Genomic DNA, 23,299 nt, shown 5'->3' on the forward strand with positions numbered 1-23,299 from the left:
AGGCTGGGTGGTGGAGCTGGGGTCTGACTGAGGCACAGGCATTGGCTAGGCAGAGGGCTATGCTGTGGGAGGGGACGTTGCATCTGGGCAGAAGGAAGCCAGCCCAAAGGCCCAGTGGCATGTGAGAGTGTGATTTTGTTTAAGGAACTGAAAGAGAGCTAATGTAGCAGGATTGCAGGGGGTGGTGTGAGAGGAGGCTGTGCAGCACCATGAGGCCAGGCTGAGCAGTTGGTCTTTAGCCTGAGGCATTAGAAGCAATTAAGGGATGGATAAATGGATACATTGTAGCATACCACGCAGCATAGTAGACAACACACAACCTTGAACCCAACACAACACACAACACGGAATGTGAAATACAAAACAATAGACAGCACACAATATAACACACCACACCATACCACAACAAAACACACAACAGTCTCCTGTTGCCATCCAGCAGGCTCCAGCCCATTTGGTAATCCACTGAGGTGCTGCTCCCCATAGGCCCTGCCCATGGTCCAAGTTCTTATAGACCATGTCCCTGTTGGCAGTCCCCCACAGGCTCTCCGCATAAAACAGATTCGTGGCAGCAGGGGAGTTCCACAAGTGTTTTAAAGACTTGACCTTCCTGAGGAGGAGTTTTTGAAGTGAGTCAATGGATTTCATACATACCTACTTGAGTCTGAAAGTGCCTCAGGCCAAGATGCTTATGGGGCTTCTGCTGCAGTGAGGGGCAGGTGGATGCCAGGTCCCTGGTCCAGCTTTGGCTGCCGCATCTTCAGTTCAGCTGTGTTAGACAAGATTTCATCAGTTGTGCCAGTGATGAAACCTTGATCACCTCCCCCACCCCCATGGACATGGCAGCTCCAGGAGCAGCTCTGCCGCCTCTGTGCAGGCAGGCCATTTTCCACTATGCTTGGAGTATTCCTCTGACAGGGTGGTGATCAGGTGTTGTGGCCCTCTCCCTTTAGCTGGAAGTGCCTCGGAGAGAGCTTGCTGGCCATGTACAATCATCTCACCACCTGTGAGCCCCCACGTCCCAGCCTTGGCAAAAGGATTGATTTGTCGGACTACCAGGACCCCAGCCAGCCTCTTGAGTCCTCCATGGTGGTGACGCCAGTTAACGTGATCCAGCCAAGCACTGTCAGCACCAACCCAGCTGTGGCTGTCGCCGAGCCTGTGGTCTCCTACACCTCTGTGGCTACAACCAGCTTCCCACTGCACAGTCCTGGTCTGTTGGAGACAGGCGCTCCTGTGGGTAAGCAGGCCCCCTGAATTTGGCTTCCGGGGAGACCCCGTTCACTGAGCCCAGCAGGAATGAGACTGCTGGGGAGCCCTGCCTCCCTAGACAGAAGGGTCATGCTGATGCTCATGACTCAAGTGGAAGTGGGAGCCCCCAGCCCTAGAGGAGCCTCTCAGCCTGCTCACAGTGCCACTGCCCGTCAGGGCCATTTCAGCTCTGAAGCCCTGCAGCTAGGAGGACGGGGGATCAGGGATGCAGCTCCTGGTCCTTGACAGTTCCCCCAGGACCATTTAGTGCCTGGCAGCCACATTCTGGCACGAAGGTTGCTCTTAACCACTTGTAATGTGGAAGCTGGCAGAGGTCCCCTCTTCTGGTCCTGCTCTCTTGCTGACTGTGTACATCCTGAGTTCTTTGATCTTAGAAAACAGTCAGCAAAGTTACCAACCACCATATGTTTTATTGATTTTTATTATTGCTAGAGTTGTCAAAAATTTTTGACAAAAGCTCCCGAGCCTTTTCTTGATTTCTGTGTCACTGAAAAAAAGAATATCTGGCAGATATAGAAGTTTCTGAATAAACATGTACATGGTTGTCTCTTTTTTACTTAATCATACATGACATTCTTCTATTGTCCATATAGTTCACACTGTTCTTTTGCTCTTATCATATTGCTGAGTGCTCAGAGGGTACTGGGTAGGGTCATAGCCACTCACTCTGTCCGTTCTGGGTAACAGAGTGAGACTCCGAAGTTCAGCCGACCAGTGAGGGGATGGGAGGGTAAGGGTGTTGCTTGCTTTGTAGCTGTGGAAAGTAATCTTGAAATCTGGCTTGTGGGTCCTGTGAAGTCAAGAAAGGTGTGAGAGTTAAGGGGTTTCAAATTAATTTTACTCAGGATTCTTTGTTGTTGAAGAAGAGATGGAAGATTTTTTGAATGTCAAAGAGTTTAATGCTAGTAGATTTATAAAAGAGGGAGATTGATGTGTCTGTGTGGTGCATTTTTTTCATCCCTGCCACCGTGTAAGATTTTAATTTGCATTCTTTGTGAAGGTGATATTTCTGGGGGAGATAAATCCAAGAAAGGGGTAAAACGGAAGAAGATTTCAGAAGAGAGTGGAGAAACAGCAAAGCGGCGGTCTGCCCGTGTCCGAAACACCAAGTGCAAAAAAGAAGAGAAAGTAGACTTCCAGGAGCTTCTGATGAAGTTCTTGCCGTCCAGGTACTGTGTATTTTTTCTGATTGTCAGAAACAAACCCACAAAGCTCCAGCATACACCATCAGTAACATTTCTCATTCCATTGCCACCCTCTTCTCTGGTCTCCTCCTCTGTGTTCCCATAACATCTGTGCAGATGTCTGAAGCACAAATCTCACTGGAGTAGGATCTTGGATTTTTCTCGCCTCTTCCCACCTCTGAAATTCCTGAAGTCAGGAGCTGTGACTTGTTCATCTTTTGAGAGCTAGAAGCAACATACTCATGTCCCTGTGTATTTACAAGACATCTATTTGTTGCTGGGAGGCAGAGGGGTGCTGTGCCTTGGGTGCAGATGCCCTGAAAACCCCATGGAAGGGAGCTTCCCTCCTGCTTTCAGGGAGTCCGTGTCTACTTGATTTGCTCCAGGCTCAGCAGGATTCCCTTGCATTCTGAGAAGGTAGAGGAGGAGCTTGTGAAGTATTCCTGGGTTTCACTCATTCTTAGTGCTTCTCAGGAGCCTAGGGGACAAGCAGGAACCAGGCTCCCCAGAGCTGGGAGGGACTTGGTCCCCAGTGCTTCTTACTTAGGTTTTCACCAGTCCTTCTGCCTTTTTTTTTTTGAGACGGAGTCTTGATCTTTCGCCCAGGCCGGAGTGCAGTGGTGCTATCTGGGCTTACTGCAAGCTCCACCTCCCGGGTTCATGCCATTCTCCTGCCTCAGCCTCACGCATAGCTGGGACTACAGGTGCCTGCCACCGCGCCTGGCTAATTTTTTGTATTTTTGGTAGAGACGGGGTTTCACTGTGTTAGCCAGGATGGTCTTGATCTCCTGACCTCGTAATCTGCCCGCCTCAACCTCCCAAAGTGCTGGGATTATAGGCATGAGCCACGGCGCCCGGCCAGTCCTTCTGCTTTTTGTCCTTGCCTGCTCACCTCCTTCAGAGGCTTTAGGATCCTCAATTTCTGAGCCTTCCTGGAGTTTATGGTGCCAGTGGGTTGGTTTCTTAATACTCCCCTTTCTCCTCCCTTAGCTGAGTGGAGAGGCCTCTCTCGGCAGACACCATTCTTCATTTGCACTGGGCCATCTGCCTTCTAACAGTTGGCTGGTACATTTTTTGTCTGCTGGGGCATCCTCGCCTATCTTCTGTCTTTGTGAGTTTATACCTTTTTTACTCCTTCGTTGTTACTGGAATGGAGTTTGGGAGCTAACCATATGTGTTCGATATGCCATCTTTAAACAGGAGTTAAACTATCTAGTTCTTTCCCATGACAGTTTATTTCAGTGGTAACAACATCAAAGTGGTGAAGGAGAAGCCAGAAGCTTTAGGTGGTTTGTAAATTTATTTTACAGCAAGATTCCTAATTTTCTTAATTTGTTGTCTTTCTGAGGTGAAGGTGAAATGCTTAGAAATAATGATTGTTCTCAGTACTTGACGCAGAACCAAAGTGGGGCTGCAGTGCCTTCTGATGAATTTTTCTTAAGGGGTAATACCAGAAGAAAGTTTCTCTTTGGAAGAACTGCAGGATTGTTCTTTGGTTGATGGTGCCAAGAGATTTGAGTGACCCTATATTCCCCTTAGCCCTGCTTTTTACTCCAAGGTCTTGTTCCCTAGTCCCATTTACCTGGATGGTTTCGACTTTCTTTTTAATCTTCATTTTAGTTGTTGGTTTCGTTTGTGGTTTAGTGTCTGCTCCTTTGTTGTTTATTTTTGTTAGAGATGGGGTCTTGCCCTGTTGCCTAGGCTGGAGTACAGTGGCACAATCATAGCTCACTGTGGCCTTGAACTCCTGGACTCAAGGGATCCTCCTGAATACCCAGGACCACAGGTGCACACCACTATGCCCAGCTAATTTTATTTCTTGTTTTTTGTAGAGATGAGGTCTTGCTATATTGCCCAGGCTGATCTTGAACTCCTGGCCTCAAGCCGTCCTTCTGCCTCCACCTCCCAAAATGTTGAGATTACAATCTTGAGCAACCACACTTAACTTAGTTTCTGCTTCTTTGAATGGTCAAGGCAAGAGCAACATGGTAGCTCGCCTGATGGAGTCACCCTGGGAGTGTGTGCAATACGTGAATGAAGACATTCACAAGTGCCCTGAGTGTTTATGCTGCAGGGGTTCTGGGTTGAGGGAACACCACAAGGTTGGCTGAAATGGGTCCTTGGGAGGAGTGCCTGCCAGGAGAGGCATCCCCAGTCCCGAGACTGGGCCCACCCACAGCTTTGTGAGGAGCCACGGAAGGACCAAGTTCAGATGAGCTTGATGTATCCCCCAAACTCCCACCTATCTATCCGCTTTCCACCTTAGTTGTTGGGCTCCCATGAGGTCCTAGAACACACCAGGTGCTCTTCTGGCCTGTGCCTTTGTACCTGTTCTTGTCCTGCATCTTTGTATTGCAAGCCCTTCTCCTCCTCCAGTGTGTCAGCATGAACATTATCCCCTCTCAAAGGCTTTCTCTGACCCTGCTCTCTAAAGCAGGGCCCTTTTGACCCATAGTCTCAAGCACTCTGTTGTGAGGTGGTCCTTATTTGGGTTAGTTTGTGTACCTGCTTATTGGCTGTGTCTCTCTAGAGGGTAAGCTTACTGCAGGCAGGATCTGCCACATTTAGGGCTGCTGTATTTGGTGCCTAGCACAGTGCCTGGCACATAGCTGGTGCTCGGTAATCATCTGTTGATGAGATGAATGACCGAGACAGGATACAGACCAAATGCTGGCTCATGAGGCCCTGGAGAGAGGCAGAGCCTCCTGGAGGCCTGGGTTCTGGACCCCACCACCCACTTATTTTAGCTGCCTTCTTCCTGACTCAGATTTAGTTTCTCTAACAGGAAGAGTTCAGATGCTTGTGTCAGAACGTGTGTTGTGACTTTGTGATTTTGGCATGTTACATGCAGGTTAAGAAAGCTGGACCCTGAGGAGGAAGATGATTCCTTTAATAACTATGAAGTCCAGTCAGAAGCCAAACTGGAAAGCTTCCCAAGCATTGGGCCTCAAAGGCTGTCATTTGACTCAGCCACATTCATGGAATCTGGTAGGAATCGAGCAGTGTGACCATTCACTTTGGGAATTCTTCTTCCCACTATCCTATAACCTGCTTATGTTTTGTTCTGGGAGAATGGTTCTGGGGTGTTTTTTAGTGTGGCCAAGAGTCTGCCTGGATTAGTCTTGGACCTAAGCCCTGTGGTCAGCTTGGAGGTCTTCTGAAATGTCCAGGCTCATACTTGCTATGCTTTCTTATGGCCAAATTCAGAGACTTCGCTTTGCAAATTGAATCTATATAAGCACACCTGTTGAGTGTGTATCAGTGTATAACTGTTGAGTGAGATTAGTGCACATGGCAGCACTTGGAGGTCTGCCCTTTTGATGTCCACCTTAGATACGGAGATTCAGAGAGGCTCAATCATAGCTGCTGAGGGTTGGAGCCAGGCATTGAACCCAGTAGCCTGATCTCAGCACCACAACGTGGTATCATGTCCACCTGGATCAGATGGTAGAGGGAGGGAACAGTCTTTACTGTCCCAAAGTAAATAGGAGACCCTGGCATGGAAGGTACTCTTTATTCAAGTCAGGTTGTTCTTGCTCCCCGGGCAGAAAAGCAGGACGTGCATGAGTTCCTGCTGGAGAACCTAACCAACGGGGGCATCCTGGAGCTGATGATGCGCTACCTGAAAGCCATGGGCCACAAGTTCTTGGTAAGGTGGCCTCCAGGCTTGGCGGAGGTCGTGCTCAGCGTCTACCACAGCTGGAGGAGGCACAGCACCAGCCTGCCCAACCCGCTGCTGAGGGACTGCAGCAACAAGCACATCAAGGTTAGGGGGAGCCTCTCAAGGGCTGGTATTGAACTGGGACCAGGGCATGGGGACAGGGATCTTGCATGGGTGTGGGGCTGCTGTTGTGTTTGGCTGCATCTACTTGTGGGCCTGGAACCTGGTTTTTTTGTGGGTGTCGAAGCAGGAAGTCACTGAACCTAGTTTGTGCCTAGAAAGCTCCCTGATGGCTGAGTGGAGGATACACTTAGGGGTGAGAGTGGGCTCACGGGGCTATCAGGAGGCTGCTGCCATGCCAGGGGAGCAGTGGCTGAGATCCAGTGGTAATAGTGGGGTGCTGGTTTGTGGTTGCAGAGCTGATAGGTTGAACTAGACATGGGATGTGTGAGGGAATGAGAGTCATGGGGAGGGCTTCTCGGGTTGTTTACTGAGTCACAGGAAGCCTTGCCAGGAGAAGCTGGAGGAAAGGGAAACATTTGGTTTGTTTGAGTTGGCAAGGACTGTGACTGAGGCTTTTGTTGTTGTTGTTTGAGACAGGGTCTTGCTCTGTTGCCTAGGCTGGAGTGCAGTGGTGCAGTCACGGCTCACTGCAGCTTCAACCTCCTGGGCTCGGGTAGTCCTCCCACCTCAGCCTTCAAAGTAGCTGGAACCACAGCCGTACACCACCACACCCGGTTATAGTCCCAGCTACTCAGGAGGCTGAGGCAGGAGAATGGTGTGAACCCGGGAGGCGGAGCTTGCAGTGAGCCGAGATGGCGCCACCGCACTCCAGCCTAGGCGACAAGGCGAGACTCTTGTCTCAAAAAAAAAAAATTTGTTTTGTTTTGTAGAGATGGGGGTCTCCTTTTGTTACGATGTTAGGATGTGGTCTTGCCATGTTGCCATGTTGCCCAGACTGGTCTGGAACTCCTGGGCTCAAGTGATCCTGATGCCTTGGCATCCCAAAGCACTGGGATGACAGGCGGGAGCCACCATGCCTGGCCTATGACTATTTTTAACAGATGATAAAACAGCAGAAGCTAAATAGCGTGCTTAGAGAAGCTTTGGGGGCCACCAGCAGTAGGGGGCTGAGCCTCACTGAGCCTTGTCTTCCTGCTGCATTCCACACCCCAGCCTCCTCCACTTGGTGCCTCCTGGAGCTCAAGGGAACACAAGGTGCTCTGGCCCCTTACTCCTGTTGGAGGTGGGACACTGAATGCTGAAGCAGGAGCACCAGGAACATTCAGGGATGCCTGGTGGTCTTTCTGACTTGAGAGCACAGGAGGTAGAAGAGCTTGTAGGTCAGTCATCCCTTGGTGGGCACCCTCCACTGAGTTACCTCAGGGCAACCTCCTGGCAGCTTCTGCCCACCAGGCCATGCTCCCCTGGGGCAGTTGTGAAACAGCAGGAGGAACCAGGGCTTTGATCCCCAGGCAAAGCAGGCTGATGATCACCTTCCAGCTGTGCCCAATGGGCAAGTGCCTTCTCATCACTGAGCCTCAGCTTCCTCAAGTGCCCTGGGAATGGTATACCAGCTGCCCAGAACTTTTAAGGGTTGAGTTCTATAATTTGGATGCAGTGTCCGTCCCAGCACTTGGCAGGTGACAGGGCTGCCTCTTCAACAGGACAAGAACTCTGAAGACCGGTCTCCTGGCCTCTCCCAAGTCTTGTCCCAACATACATCCATGTGGCTCTTTTTATGTTCTGGCGAGTAGCCACTGATTATCACTTATGAAATGGCAAGTGGATAGAAAGAATTATATTTTTATCAAAAAGTATAGTTTTGTTTCCTTCCACAGCCCCCTACCCCCCACACTGTGAAGAGGCTTTGTGATACTGTTCTTGACCTTCCTGTGTCTGTCCTGCAGGACATGATGCTGATGTCTCTCTCCTGCATGGAACTCCAGCTGGACCAGTGGCTGCTGACCAAAGGCAGAAGCTCTGCAGGTAGGAGGCATTATGTGTTCTGTGGCCAGGCTAATATCTGAACCCCCAGCAGCTGGGAGAAAGCTGAGGCGGGAGACTGAGTCATGGAATTTAGCCTTATATCTACAGTAGGCACATTTTTTGGGTTGGCTTGTCAGGGTCCCAGGGAAATCTCCTGGATACTCAAGAAGTGGTTAGCAGTAGCTGAGCCCCCAGAGGGAGCCACCTCCCTGCTTTGCTGTTACACAAGATTGAAGGAAGTGGGATCTCAGTTTTGGTGTGACTGTTCAATGCAGTGCTTTATGTATTATGTAGCTTCAGTAATTTTTCTGGTGATACGGATTTTTTTTTTTTTTTTTTTTTTTTTTGGTAAGACAGCGTCTTGCTCTGTCACCCAGGCTGGAGTGCAGTGGCATGATCTTGGCTCACTGCAACCTCTGCCTCCCAGGCTCAAGTGATTCTCCCATATCAGCCTCCCGAGGAGCTGGGACTACAGGCGTGTGCCACCATGCCTGGCTAATTTTTGTATTTTTTGGCAGAGATGGGGTTTCACCATGTTAGCCAGGCTGGTCTTGAATTCCTGACCTCTAGTAATCCGCCCACCTCAGCCTCCCAAAGTGCTGGGATTACAGGCATGAGCCACTGGGCCCAGCTTCATTCTGACTTTTAAACTACCACCTGGTGGAATGTAGATATACTCAATGCTGTCTGTAAAATTGCTTCCCCTTGCCCTTGCCCCTGACTCTCGGCAGGGGGCAGGGTCTCTGCATATCTTTGTCTTAACTGGTCCAACCTCTCTGATGCCTGCCACTCAGGGAGCTGTAGGGCTCTGAGGGGCTTAGGGTGCCCCTGGAGATAGGGTGGGTGTGGTTAGGGCCAAGTGCAACTTCTGAGAAGCAGAAGGGCATTAGAATGCTACACATGAAGTTGACTCGTTGGCCTGATGGTTTTTAGTGTCTCCTCGGAACTGCCCTGCTGGTATGGTGAATGGCAGATTTGGACCTGACTTCCCAGGGACCCACTGCCTGGGTGACCTCCTACAGCTGTCATTTGCCTCGTCCCAGCGCGACCTGTTCGAGGATGGTTGGCTGGAGTTTGTGGTCCGTGTTTACTGGCTGAAGGCTCGCTTCCTGGCGCTGCAGGTTAGTTCCATGGTCAGCTGCTTGGGGAGCATGCCCTGACACCCAGCAGGGTGGGCAGAAAATTGACCATGTTGAGGGTGTGTGTGTGTATGTGTGTGTGTGTGTGTGTGTGCATGCATGTGTACATGCATAGCACCTGCCCGGGCACTGGGCTTGGCATGAGAAAGTGTGACACAGTGGGGAATTCTCAGCATCTCAGACTTCCAAGCATGATACCAATCTGTAAAGCTCTTTAGCATAACCACAGAGCTCTGGAAGGCATTTGCTCTGCCTCTACCTCCCCCACTCAAGATTGCCTTGGCATCTTGACTCTTTGCTTATGTTTTCCTGAGAGAGCCCGAGCAAGTGAATAAACAGATACAGAGCTTTCTAGGAGGGAATTATTCACCTGTTTTATGAGAGTTCTGGGAAAGCTTCCCTTCAGAGCCTGGTCTGGAAGGCCAGGATGGATTGGCTGTTACCTAGCACCTTGCACATGGTGGTACTGGTACACTGTGGTAGAATGAGTCAAGAGATTGCTAGGGCCCTGTCAGCAACCATTTAGTCTAAAGAAAGCAACACTGTTTGATGTGAAGAACATTAGTTCTGGAATTAGGACAGGCCTGGCTTCTAATTCTGGCTTTGCTCAAGTGTCCTCAGTGTTTTCATCTGCAACATGGGGTTTATGATATCTCCCCTCGCAGAGTTGACATGGACTGTTCATTTAGTCAACAAGTATTTATTGAGCCCAAGCTACATGCCAGGCCTTTCTTAGGGGGGTACAGTGTAATTGGTAAAAAACCCACCCTCATGGCCTCCACAGTCTAGTGAGATAAGTGGTGTAAAGCATCTGGCACATCATAGTCAGTCTTCTGCTTTGGTTCCCTGACCTGTTTTCCGTCTAACCAGGGAGACATGGAGCAGGCCCTGGAGAACTATGACATCTGCACAGAAATGCTCCAGAGTTCCACCGCCATCCAGGTGGAGGCAGGGGCTGAACGAAGAGACATTGTCATCCGGCTGCCCAACCTCCATAATGACTCTGTGGTTTCCCTGGAGGAGGTAAGTGAGAATTTTCGTTTGTTTGTTTGTTTCCTGAGATGGAGTTTCACTTTTGTCGCCTAGGCTGGAGTGTAATAGTGCAATCTCGGCTCACTGCAACCTACACCTCTGGGGTTCAAGGGATTCTCCTGCCTCAGCCTCCTGAGTAGCTGGGATTACGGGTGCCCGCCGCCATGCCTGGCTAATTTTTTGTATCTTTAGTAGAGACGGGGTTTCACCATGTTGGCCAGGCTGGTCTTGAACTCCTGACATCAGGTGATCCACCTGTCTTGGCCTCTCGCAGTGCTGGGATTACAGGTGTGAGCCACTGTGCCCAGCTGAAAGGTTTTTTTTTTTTTTTTTTTTTTTATTGATCATTCTTGGGTGTTTCTCGCAGAGGGGGATTTGGCAGGGTCATAGGACAATAGTGGAGGGAAGGTCAGCAGATAAACAAGTGAACAAAGGTCTCTGGTTTTCCTAGGCAGAGGACCCTGCGGCCTTCCGCAGTGTTTGTGTCCCTGGGTACTTGAGATTAGGGAGTGGTGATGACTCTTAACGAGCATGCTGCCTTCAAGCATCTGTTTGACAAAGCACATCTTTCACCGCCCTTAATCCATTTAACCCTGAGTGGACACAGCACATGTTTCAGAGAGCACAGGGTTGGGGGTAAGGTCATAGATCAACAGGATCCCAAGGCAGAAGAATTTTTCTTAGTACAGAACAAAATGAAAAGTCTCCCATGTCTACTTCTTTCTACACAGACACAGCAACCATCCGATTTCTCAATCTTTTCCCCACCTTTCCCCCTTTTCTATTCCACGAAACTGCCATTGTCATCATGGCCCGTTCTCAATGAGCTGTTGGGTACACCTCCCAGAGGGGGTGGTGGCCGGGCAGAGGGGCTCCTCACTTCCCAGTAGGGGCGGCCGGGCAGAGGCGCCCCTCACCTCCCAGACGGGGCGGCTGGCCGGGCGGGGGCTGACCCCCCACCTCCCTCCCGGACGGGGTGGCTGCCGGGCGGAGACGCTCCTCACTTCCCAGACGGGGCGGCTGCCGGTTGGAGGGGCTCCTCACTTCTCAGACGGGGCGGCTGCCAGGCGGAGGGTCTCCTCACTTCTCAGACGGGGCGGCCGGGCAGAGACGCTCCTCACCTCCCAGACGGGGTCGCGGCCGGGCAGAGGCGCTCCTCACATCTCAGATAATGGGCAGCCGGGCAGAGACACTCCTCACATCCCAGATGGGGCGGCGGGGCAGAGGCGCTCCCCACATCTCAGACGATGGGCGGCCGGGCAGAGACGCTCCTTACTTCCTAGATGGGATGGTGTCCGGGCAGAGACGCTCCTCACTTTCCAGACTGGGCAGCCAGGCAGAGGGGCTCCTCACATCCCAGACGATGGCGGCCAGGCAGAGACGCTCCTCACTTCCCAGACGGGGTGGCGGCCGGGCAGAGGCTGCAATCTCGGCACTTTGGGAGGCCAAGGCAGGCGGCTGGGAGGTGGAGGTTGTAGCAAGCCGAGATCACGCCATTGCACTCTAGCCTGGGCACCATTGAGCACTGAGTGAACGAGACTCCGTCTGCAATCCCGGCACCTCGGGAGGCCGAGGCTGGCGGATCACTCGCGATTAGGAGCTGGAGACCAGCCCGGCCAACACAGCGAAACCCCGTCTCCACCGAAAAAATATGAAAACCAGTCAGGCGTGGCGGCGCACGCCTGCAATCGCAGGCACTCGGCAGGCTGAGGCAGGAGAATCAGGCAGGGAGGTTGCAGTGAGCCGAGATGGCAGCAGTACAGTCCAGCTTCGGCTTGGCATCAGAGGGAGACCGTGGAAAGAGAGGGAGAGAGAGACCATGGAAAGAGATGGAGAGGGAGACCGTAGGGAGAGGGAGAGGGAGTGAAAGGTTTTAAATGGTATTTTTTAGTCAAAGGTTTCTTGTGATTTGGCATAGTTAGCCCAGGGTTGACCTGTTTCTGAGGAACAAGAGAGCTTCCCATATGCTGAGTGGGGCCTCTGTTGGGAAGACAGGAGAGGCCTGGGAAAGGCTGCTGTAGTACACTGGGACACTGCAGATCCTTGGTGGAAAGCAGGTGTGGGAGCTCTCACCAGCACTATTTAGAAGCAGTCATTGCTCTGCTCTCCTGGCTATGTGTGGCAGCCACCCCAGTGGAACTGGAAGGAAATATCAGCTGGAGCAGACCAGTATTGGGCTGGCCATGGGGTTGAGTCAGCAGTGTGTGGCCTATATGCCAAGTTCCACCCAGGTGCCACTTTATTCATTGTGCAGCTCCAGACCCTGCTGCAGTTCTGCATCTGTGACATGTCCACACTGGCTGAAAGTGGCCTTCAGACTCTCCTAGAGTTATTTCAGGGACAAGTACAAGTACAGAGCTGTCTACATGCCAGGGCTTCGTCAGGTCCTGCATGTAGCGTATGACAACCTCTGGTCCAGGCTTGCTGAGTCTCTGACAACCCGATGTTCCGCAGTTCTGCAAGACTGGTTCGCCGAACTGTGACCACAAGGCTGTCCAGCTATCTTGGTGGATGCTTTCCTGGAACTCCTCTGCTTCTGAGTAGTTTTTGGTTTTTGATGTGCTTGTTTTTTAAAGAATTGGATGCCTAGCCATTAATAGAAATACTTTTAACACATACGTTTAGTGTAAACACTGATGTATGAAGGAGGAATCTAATTTTTTTTGGGCTGGAACATAGTCTAATTTTTATTCTCCTCATCCAAGTCTGATAAAAACAAACACTGGCCAGATTTGGTGGGGCAGGGGCTGAGGGGTTTACCCTCATACAGCATTGCCGGGCCTTTTTCAGATTGATAAGAACCTGAAGTCGCTGGAGCGGTGCCAGTCCCTGGAGGAGATTCAGCGGCTGTATGAAGCAGGCGACTACAAGGCTGTTGTGCATCTGCTCCGCCCCACTTTGTGCACCAGTGGGTTTGACCGGGCCAAACACCTGGAGTTTATGACTTCCATTCCTGAGAGGCCAGCCCAGCTGCTTCTTCTGCAGGTGTGTGCTGCCAGTGTCCCTCACACCCACTTGCACCTTCTCTCCTTGCTTGTTTGTGTTTATTCTCTGGAGGTTCTGCGGTAGTTCTTAAGAATGTATAGCTAGAAGAGAGTGGATGTCAAAACCACTAAGCCCCCAGGAAGATGTTAGTCAGAAGATATGGTCAAGACTAATGGAAAGTTAGAACCAAGGAGTGCAGGTTCTAGGGTTCTGCGTGGCTCAGGGTGAACCCCACACTTGACTCAGAACTTCTGTGTGGCAGAGGAGGAAGGAAGAATGGTCAGGTCATCATCTGTCCATCCACTTGTTTATTCATCCATCTTGTTTTGTATTGCTTTTTAAGGTAAATATAAAAGTGGCTAAAATATCTGTACAGTGGAAAGAATCAAGATAAAATAAAGACCAATGTGTTGAAGAAAAATAACACTAGCCTTATGTTTGAAACCTCGTGTGCCCTCCTGAATCCTTCTGTGCTTCTGTTCCTCAGGAGGTAAACTCTTACCAAGAGCCTGCCAGGGAACTGGCAGCTGCTGGGTGCTGGGCAGTTATTCAACCTCTCTGAGCTCAGTTCCTCATTTCTAGGATAGGGATGACCAATGTCCTTAGCTCAGAGTCCTGTTGTAGGGATTACACAAGGTAATGTGTGTTGGCACCATGCCTGGCACTAGCAGGTGCTGTGGAGGTACTGCTGTCATCGTTGCCACCATCCTCAGGAGGGTTGAGTTGGCACCGAGATAAACATGGAAGATAATACGCAAAATATGCTTAGTGGCATTGAGTCCTGGTCCCTTATGCTTCATCCTACTAATCACATTGTGTTTTGTATCTATGGGGTACTTCCCTTTCAATTTGGAAAGAGAGTCCAGTCTTCTCCCAGGCTTTTTGCACAGATTGCACGAAGCATTTTAATCATTAACATTGTTGAACTGGGAAATAGTTAAGAGGTGCGACTATGGGAACAAATGGAAGCACCTCAGTCATGGGGAAAGGGTAAGAAAGAGTTGGTTTGGGGAAGCAGGAGGGAGAAGGGGGTGGAGGGAAGGAGGCTCCAGCTCCTGGCAGAGGAGGTCAGTCAGGCCCAAGCCAAGATCAGCGGATGAGATGTGTGTGACCTGTTACCTGGCAGGCTGCAAGGTGGCCCAGCATGGCTATGTGTGGGAGGGACAGCCAGCATACCAGGAAGGGTGCTGGGTGGGAGAAAGGGGAGAGAGGCCAGTGGTCTCTGCCTCCATAGGATGGCCTCAATGCTCAGATGTGGTCTTGCTCTTATTGTCTTCTAGAACAGCTGGATGTGGCAGGATACCCCATTGATGGGGGAGGAACTGCTGCTTGGGCAGGCGCTGAGCTGTGATAAGGGCTGTGCTTGAGGTCGGAGCCGAATGCTGTGGAAGCTCCTGCTTTTTGTGAATTAAGGTTTCCTGATTATTGCTCAGTTTTGTATTGAGAGTGTTTTCTTATTGATTTGGAGTGCTTTTTTTTGTATATTAAAGATAGTAATCTTTTTCTCAACAAATCTTGCAAATATTTTTTTCCCAATTGTTTGCTTTTAAATTGCAGAGAGGTTCTGAATTTTTATGCTGTCACATCTTTTGATGTTTTCATACATGTGTGATTTTGTTCATGGTTCACTGTGTTTTTTGTTCCTATGCTTAGACAGTCTTTCCAAGAGTGGAGAAATATTCATCCATTTGTTCTACACACATAGCTTGAGCTTTTATGGGGTGCCTGGCACTGGGCCAAGAGGAAGGCTGCTCTGAGGGACCCCATGTTCTCGAGGGGGGGCAGACAAGAGACCCATCAACAGAGAGATAAAAAGAGTATTTGCTTTTGTTTTATTCCCGCAGTGTTAATGTTTTATGTTTTGCATTTAACTTGTTTCATTTAGCTTTTCTCAAGTGGGGCATTGAACTTGCAGTCTTTTCCTGTGGGTGTATAGTGGCGCTTTCTTCCAGTGGGCAAGCTGCCTATTATGTTCTTCAGTCTAATTGGATAGTTTGTGTCTTGTTGAGTTGATTCTTAGTCCTTAATATTTTTGGTTGCTATATTGAGCAGAATCTTTTTGTTGTTCACTATCTTTTCCATGTATTCCTACGTTGCTGGCTTATAGAAACCCTATTGATTTTTTTGTGTTTGAGTCTGGGTGCTTCACTGAGTTCCCATTATTTCTTGTTTTCTGTCTGGCTTGTTTTATTGTGTTTGGGTAGATGATTGTGTTGCCCCCAGTCGATGGTAATTTGGTCTCCTCATTCATTGGTGTTTATTCTACTTTTTTGCTCTGTCTGGCCTTGAGCCCTGGAGATTATGTCATATTTTAGAGCACCGTTAGCAGGTCCTTGTCTTGTCCCTGACTTTCACAATGACTCTGGTTGCATTTAGTAGTCTTTATCATGCTGGAAAATAATCCTCTGGCTCTCACATGTTGGGTGTTTTGACCAGGAGGCATCAGCTCAGGCTTTGGACTCCCACATCAGCACCCTGTAGGCACCCTCGCACCCCAGTGGCCTCCTGGTAAAGGCTGCTGGCTTTCTCTAATGAAACACGGGCCCCATTTTCCTGGCAATTAGGATTTATAAATTGGGGGGGGTTTTGATCTGTGTTCAGATACCACACCACATTCCAAAGGCAGTTCCAGGTATTTCTGACCCCACACCTGTTGGTCTCACCTCAGAGAGTGGCAGCTGCACATGTCAAGGTTGGGAGGAGCCGCTGCCAGGCCTGGGCTGTGGCGAGGTTAGAGCCCAATGGGTCACCGGGCAGCAGGTGCTTCCTGTAGGTGTAACAAGCGTCCCACCAGATCTGTGAATTCACAGACAGGCTGTGTTTCCCCATGCACCAGCACAGTGATGAGAGATCCCAGGCATTTAAATGGGTTGTATTCTAGGCCAAAAAAAAAAAAAAAGGAGCTTTGCGAAAAGCAGTGGTTTCCAAAGAGAAGCTTTTAAAATAGAAGTAACAGTTCAGTGTGGTGTTCTGAGAGTTCTTCCATGTGCCAGGCACTGTGCTGAGTGTAATATGCACATCAGCTCATTTAATGCCCACAGTGCCGCTGAGGGGATGATGTGGTGGCTGAGGCTCAAATGGCTTACACATTGGCCCCATCAGGGCACCTGGGGAGGAGGAGGCTGATAGAGTGATGACTTTAGTGTTGCCTGGCCAGTTGCCCCTGTTGTGGCCTTGGCTCAGGCCCTCCTCCGCTGAGGTAGTCCCTCCCTGGCAGTCTGCCCCTTTGCTGCTGAACCCCCTCCAGAGCCCTGGCACTGGATGGGCACAGTGGCTCTGGGGAGAGCTGACAGGTGTTGGGGTGCCTGTCTCACCTTGGCTGGCTCTGCAGCCTCATTCCCAGCATCCCCACTTTATAAATGGGGAAGTTGAGGTACAGAGGTGAAGCCTTTCTGAAAGCTCCCTGGCTGGTGACATTCTCTGCTGCCATTGCACACAGGCCACTGGACTGCCCTTCTAGGCACCTCCGGGCTGCATGGGGCCTATGTTGTGCTGGGGCTCGTTCTTCCCTTTCTTTTGCTGCCCCTCATCTGTTTTCCTTCAGTTGTCTCTGCTCAGGCCTTGGGCCCAGATGTGCTGAGCTCACCGTGCACTTCACCTGGCTTCTTGCTGTACTAGGACTCCTTGCTCCGGCTGAAGGACTATCGGCAGTGTTTTGAGTGTTCCGATGTGGCTCTGAACGAGGCTGTCCAGCAGATGGTGAACTCAGGTGAGGCTGCCGCCAAGGAGGAGTGGGTGGCCACAGTGACCCAACTGCTGATGGGCATCGAGCAGGCCCTCTCTGCGGACAGCAGTGGTAGCATCCTGAAGGTATCATCCTCCACCACTGGCCTTGTGCGGCTCACCAACAACCTCATCCAGGTAACCCCTGGCTCCTTCTCACCCTGCCCTGCCCCAGCAGGTATGTCTCTGTGACATCCTGCTTCTTCAGTAGTTCATAGCTTTCATTGCTAATTAGGCACCCAAAGGGGACATGATGGCTTCTTTGGTTGGAACTTTCGGGATCTGAGGAGGGGTTTGTGCGCAGGCTGCAAACCTTCCTGGGGCTGGTCGGATCTGGGGATTAGAGACTGTGTAGCACTTGGTGCCATGGGGTTCTTCCAGACCATCCGTCCCAGAGGGGAAGAAATAACCTCACGGGGAGGCCCTGGTCTGCCTGCAGTGAGCCAGAGGCAGAATGGGGGCCAGAGCGCAGGCCGGGATGGCTCCAGCATCCCACGGTATCCTGGCACTTCCAACTGAGGGGTAGTCACAGCACCCTGCATCGTCCAGGAAGTCTTTAAGGCAGAGAATCTTCCTCTGAAGCACTCTGGGCTCTCTCCTCAATTCCCGCTCAGGCCATCAGCAAGTCCTGCCAAATCTATATCCTCACCCCTCCAGCCTTTGTTTCTCCCTCTGTCTTCATCTTTCTGCTGTAGTCCAGGCCACTGCTACTCTTGCTTGAGCTGTGGCAGCACACTTGCCACAGTCTCCTCTGCCCGCTCCAGCCGCTTTCCAGCCACAGAGGCACCTTTCCAAAACAGATATGAATGTGCTTCTCCCTCACTTAAAACCCTTCATGTTCCCTCCAGGTTGTGTGTCACTTAAGGTACACTGAGCTCCAGGCCTGTCTCTCCCCCTGGTCTTGTGCTTCCTTGGCTGCAGCCTTCCTGGGCTACCCCCTGGGGTCCCTGCCTGCATGCCTGTCCTCTGCCCCCACTCCTTGCCCTCCCTGGGTGTTGGACACACCACAGCCACTCACTTGGAAACTTTCTTAATAAGGCTCTCACCTGTCTGCCCCACCCCTCCTCTGTGAGCCATTGTGGCTGCATCTGTTCTCATTGCAGCAGCCATACTGACTCTTTGCACTTGTGTAGCTTGTCCATGGCTCTCTTCTCTCTGGGCTCTCAGCTCCCCCATGCCCTGTTCACAGGACACAGCACATAGTAGGTACTGAGGGTATCAGTAACTGCATGTGGCATGAAGGAGAGTAGTGTGACTATCATTGGACACTATGGGTCTCTGTCCGATGACATGCTGAGGATCTGCTAGGTTACAGTGCCCACATCTGAGCAGTGGGGGTGGGCAGGCAGCACATACCAGCTCCCCAAGAGGCCTCCTGCCTCCCTTCAGTCTGCCCTGAAGGCTTACCCTGCTGTGACACTTCTGCTGTCTCCCACCCCGCACTGTCAGGTCATTGACTGCAGCATGGCTGTGCAGGAGGAGGCCAAGGAGCCCCACGTCTCTTCAGTGCTACCCTGGATCATTCTACACCGGATCATCTGGCAGGAGGAAGACACCTTCCATTCTCTGTGCCACCAGCAGCAGCTCCAAAACCCAGCGGAGGAAGGTGCACAGGCAGTGGGTGCAGTGGGGATGAGCTCTGACTCCCATGTCCTTGCCCCTGTCCTCTGCCCTAGGGTCCTGGACCTTATCCAGACGTTGTGAGTGGGGCTCAGTCCTCTCAATCCCAGGATTTTGCATGCGCTTGGACAGAGGCAGAAGTGTCCTTGGTTTCTCCCTGAGGGAGCTTACTGTGCAGTGGGCACGGGAGGCCTGGATGTGTGAGCATTGTATGTTTGGTGCAGATGGCAGCATGGAGGGAGTGACAAGAGGTGACTACTTATGACAAATGCTGACACTGCTCCAGGAGGCCTTGTATCCACTAGCTCCTTTAATCCCCATGACACCCGAAGGGATGGTAAGCCGAGGGCAGCATGGAGTGAGCACAGGTTCCACATCCCAACTGTCACTTCTTAGATGTGTGACCTTGGGCAAGTCATATAACTTCAGCCTCTATTTCCCCATACCCATATTGGGAATAATAATATCTACCTCAGAAGGTTATTCTGAGGATGAAATGAAATAATAAAGCCATGAATCACCATGGTGGGTCAGTGCCTGGCTCATGGTGGGTGCTGAGTGATGAGAATCCAGGGAGGGCGAGCCCCAGACCCTTAATGGAGATGGCAATGGATCCATAGTCAGTGCAATGGTAGAAAGTGTGCTGGATTGAAGAAACGACAGTACTGCAGCTAAATGACACTTAAAGCAAAGATTGCCTGTAATCTTATCAGATAGATCTTTTTTTTTTTCCATTTTTTGTTTTCTTGCATTTGCTGTCCAGACTTGGCCTAATGCACATCTAGTTTGTGTGCAGTTGTTAGAATAATATGTGTCTATTGATGCTTGTATTCAACTAGCTTAAAATTAAGTTTATTGAAGATTTTTCCTCAATAATTTGTAAAACAAGAAAAGTGGAAAGGAAAGAGTCATCCCTATTCCAACTGCTCAGAGAAAACCAGAGTTAACATGTGGTTTTTCTCCTTCCCTTCACATTCTCTCTATAATTTTATTCACTGCTCAGAAAGTTACCAGCTGCTCACTACATGTCAGGGCTCTGTGGCTAGGATACCTCTGGCCTTGACAGGTTTGTGATAGTGGGAGACAGATCAACTATCTAACACCAGGATGGTGTGGTGGATGGAGAGGAGGGCACCTGATGCTGCCCATGGGTGTGGGTGTGGGTTGAGTTGAGCCCTGAAGGAAGAGCAGGGGCAGAGGAAGACATTGGGGAGGTGGAGTGGGGCCAGGGACTGAGCAAGCCTTAAGTCAGGCAGGAGACCTGGGGCATGGGGATTGGATATGGGAAGAGGGGCCAGATTGCAAAAGGCTTTTATTTTCTGTTTTGTAAAGCTGTTGCTCCATTTTGCTCCATTGTTTTCATCATGCTGATGAGAGGTGCATGCACTATTGAACCATCCCCGCTGCTGAACCCTTAGTTTGGCTGCACTATTTCATTCTTACGGGTCATGCCGTGATGAACACCTCATTCATGCCTTTTTGCTTGTACCCAATTTTTTTTTTAGGATAAATTTCTAGGAATGAATATCTTTAGAGCTCTTGATAATTATTACCTCTGGTACCACATTGTTCTCCAAAAGGATTTTAGTGGTGAAAAAAAACCTAAAGTTTATAACTATAAAAGTTTGTTATTTTTCTTAGAAAAATAACACGAAAAGACTTCTGGACTGAAATTCTCCTTTTCCTCAAAATTAATTATGCAAACAAAAATTAGTTTTCAAAAAACTGCCAGCAAGTAAATGCGGATAGAGGAATAGTCAAATACCTTAAACTTTGAAAAGTACATCAAAGAAAGAGAGAGAGATTGGAAAGGAAAAAGAAAGAAAAGAAAGAAAAAAGAAAGATTCTGGTGGAGTGGCAGTAGATGTGGCTCTGTCTCTGCATGTCCCTCAGCAGGAGAACTGATGGAAGATAGCAAGTTGACCAAATCCTGGGAAATATTATTAATATTCTCATTTGTGGAGAGTGGCATGAGGGGAAACCTCCTCCATCCCACCCTTGGCCTTGGCAGAGGCAGGAAGAGCCACAGGATCCTGCCATCTTCCAGTGTGCAGACTGAGCTGAGGGAAGGGGCCCTGGGATAAAACACACTATGGTTGGGTGGTGAGGGGCCTGGTGAGGATATTATCACCCAGGAAAAATAATAACAGTTATCACATACTGAATTCTCTGGAAGCAGATACTAAGACAGGGTTTATAAGGAAGGCGGAGGAAGCAGAATTGGGCTTTTGAGCTGACAAACAGAATGAAACAAAAAGGAAAATCGTAGAACTGAGGAAAACACTGCAAACTAAATCTCACCATTATAAAGTCATAAATGCAAACAGCATGGAGCAGAATGAATATGACAAATTGGAACAATTGGTTGCATTTAAGAGCCAAAAGTAACAGGGCATGGTGGCTCACTCCTGTAATTCCCACACTTCAGGAGTTTGAGGCAGAAAGATTACATGGGGCCAGGAGTTTGAAGCCAGCCCAGGCAACGTAGTAAGACCCTGTATCTACAAAAAGTAAAATAAAATTTAAAAAATTAGCCAGGTGTGGTGGTGGCACCTAGAGACCTAGCTACTTGGGAGGCTGAGAAAGGAGGATGACTTGAGCCCAGGAGTTGGAGGCTGCATTGAGCTATGACCATGCCATTGTACTCCAGCCTGGGCAAAAGTGAGACCTCATCTTAAAAAAAAGAAGAAAAAGTACAAAACAAATTTCATGAAAGAAAGTTATTACTAGTGGCTTCTGACATGTTCTGTCCTGATCCACTCTAAAAATGCTAGTTATAAGTCGTTAATGGGTTATGGCCCAGAGTTTCAAAAATACTAAGGGACCTTTATAAACAAATAATACTTCTAGTGGTAAACAAATGTGTAACTGGAATTCAGTAGTTCTTTTTCCTCCTGTTTTACTCTTTTTCTTCTGTATTATTCAGGTAGACCTAAATCTAAGAACTTTTAAGGCCAGGCGCCATGGCTCATGCCTGTAGTCTCAACACTTTGGGAGGCCGAGGCAGGCCAGGAGTTCGAGACTAGCTTGAGCAACATAGTGAAACCCTGTCTCTACAAAAAATTAAAAAATTAGCTGGGTGTGGTAGCTCGCGCCTGTAGTCCCAGCTACTCAGGAGACTGAGGCAGGAAGATTGTGTGAGTCCAGGAATTGGAGGCTGCAGTGAGCTATAATTGTGCCAACTGTACTCCAGCCTGGGCAACAGTTAGACCCTATCTCTTAAAAAAAAAAATTTTTTTTTTTAAGTTAAGAAATGGCATGTGTAGTATGGGTTCCATTGTAACAAATTACTTTTCTCTCATTCAAAATGCATCAGATATGCACAGATGGATGCTGTGACTGAGGTTCACCAGATGTCAGCATTGGTTCTCTCTGGGCTGGTATTTTGATGGATAAAGTGTGCTCCTTTATATTTTCCTATATGGCTTGAATTGTGTTTTGATAAGCGTGTATTGCTTTAGTAAAGCCAGTCAAGTCACTACTTATTTAAAAAGGCAAAAAAAAAAAAAAAAGGGAAAGGAAAAGTCTGTAGTCATGTTGATAAAGACAGAAAAGCCCGAAAAGAGGAGACTGAGCCTCGCAGCCCCTGCAGGCACGCAGGTTCCCACACTAACTCTGTGTCTGTCGGCCTGGGCTTTCCCTAGGGATGTCAGAGACGCCCATGCTCCCATCCTCCCTCATGCTGCTGAACACAGCCCACGAGTATTTGGGCAGAAGGTCCTGGTGCTGCAATTCAGATGGGGCTCTGCTGCGATTCTATGTAAGTGCTTCCCCTTGGGCTGCAGACTGCCAGTGCGGGGCAGGGCTGGGGTGGGAGGTGGAATGGGAAGGGGACAGATTCATGTTGGCACGCTGGGCTTGCTTGGCCTTCCCTCAGTGGGCCCACTGTGTGTCTTTGACTTACTGCATTTCTCACTGTAGTTACCGAAGCTTGTCAGAAAGTCTGATAAGACTTTCTTGCCAGAAAGTTCCCTTGTGTACCTGAGGCTCAGGAAGCTCCGGAGCTCTTGAACAGCAGGTGGATTTAGATCTACTAGTCCTTACTGAGTTTCTTCCTAGTCAGGCACGGGGCTAGGCCTTGTAGTTGTAATTTCAGGAGTAATAACCACATGCACCACCACCGCCTTCTATTGAGTCCTGTTTACTAAGCATTACTCACAATGCCAAGTAGTAGTTGCTCATTCAATAGCTATTATTACATCCATTCAGTCACTAAATGATTAGTGAGAGCACATACACTTCCTTGCACTTGTCAGTTGTGATTGACTGGAAGTAGCTCCCTGGGTTTACTAGGGATAAGCAGCACGAACCCTGTCTCCAATCTCACTGTTGAGTAGGAGGCCAAGCAGCATGCAGACCAGTTACAGAGCACCTGGTGTTCTTCATATACCAAGACAGGGACCTCAGACCCAGCCTATAATATTTATTCGTGAAGTTCTATTGGGATATAACCATGCCCATTCATTTACATATTAACTGTGGCTGCTTTTGCAGTAGAGTGGCAGAGTGCAGTAGCTGTGATGGAGGTGTATGGCCAGCAAAGTCTAAAATACTTAGTATCTGGCCCTTTAAGAAAACGTTTGCCATCACCTGCTCTATACCTTCTCTTCAGGGAACAATACCTGCTCTTTCACAACTGCACCCTCCCTCCCAGTACTCCCCATCTTCCTGTGCTTTCCCCTCAGCGCTTAACC

At 49.6% G+C, this 23,299-nt stretch overlaps 1 protein-coding gene across 50 annotated transcripts in view; it reads left to right on the top strand.

Annotated features, from left to right (window-relative positions):
* CABIN1 (calcineurin binding protein 1) overlaps positions 1–23,299 on the top strand; it is a 167,325-nt gene that overhangs the window by 42,616 nt on the left and 101,410 nt on the right. For 43 of the 50 annotated variants that reach the window (XM_047441218.1, XM_047441219.1, XM_047441226.1 and 40 more), the window contains 11 exons: positions 954–1,240; positions 2,273–2,441; positions 5,308–5,444; positions 6,005–6,222; positions 8,028–8,106; positions 9,040–9,227; positions 10,116–10,268; positions 13,068–13,262; positions 16,881–17,123; positions 18,435–18,591; positions 22,250–22,365. In XM_047441218.1, the coding sequence (XP_047297174.1) occupies positions 954–1,240; positions 2,273–2,441; positions 5,308–5,444; positions 6,005–6,222; positions 8,028–8,106; positions 9,040–9,227; positions 10,116–10,268; positions 13,068–13,262; positions 16,881–17,123; positions 18,435–18,591; positions 22,250–22,365 (1,942 nt within the window). The remainder of the gene's footprint in view (positions 1–953; positions 1,241–2,272; positions 2,442–5,307; positions 5,445–6,004; positions 6,223–8,027; positions 8,107–9,039; positions 9,228–10,115; positions 10,269–13,067; positions 13,263–16,880; positions 17,124–18,434; positions 18,592–22,249; positions 22,366–23,299) is intronic. The other 7 variants (XM_047441227.1, XM_047441238.1, XM_047441240.1 and 4 more) reach the window with 1 other exon arrangement.

This window comes from Homo sapiens, chromosome 22, assembly GCF_000001405.40.
Source record: "Homo sapiens chromosome 22, GRCh38.p14 Primary Assembly".
Classification (NCBI taxonomy): Eukaryota; Metazoa; Chordata; class Mammalia; order Primates; family Hominidae; genus Homo; species Homo sapiens.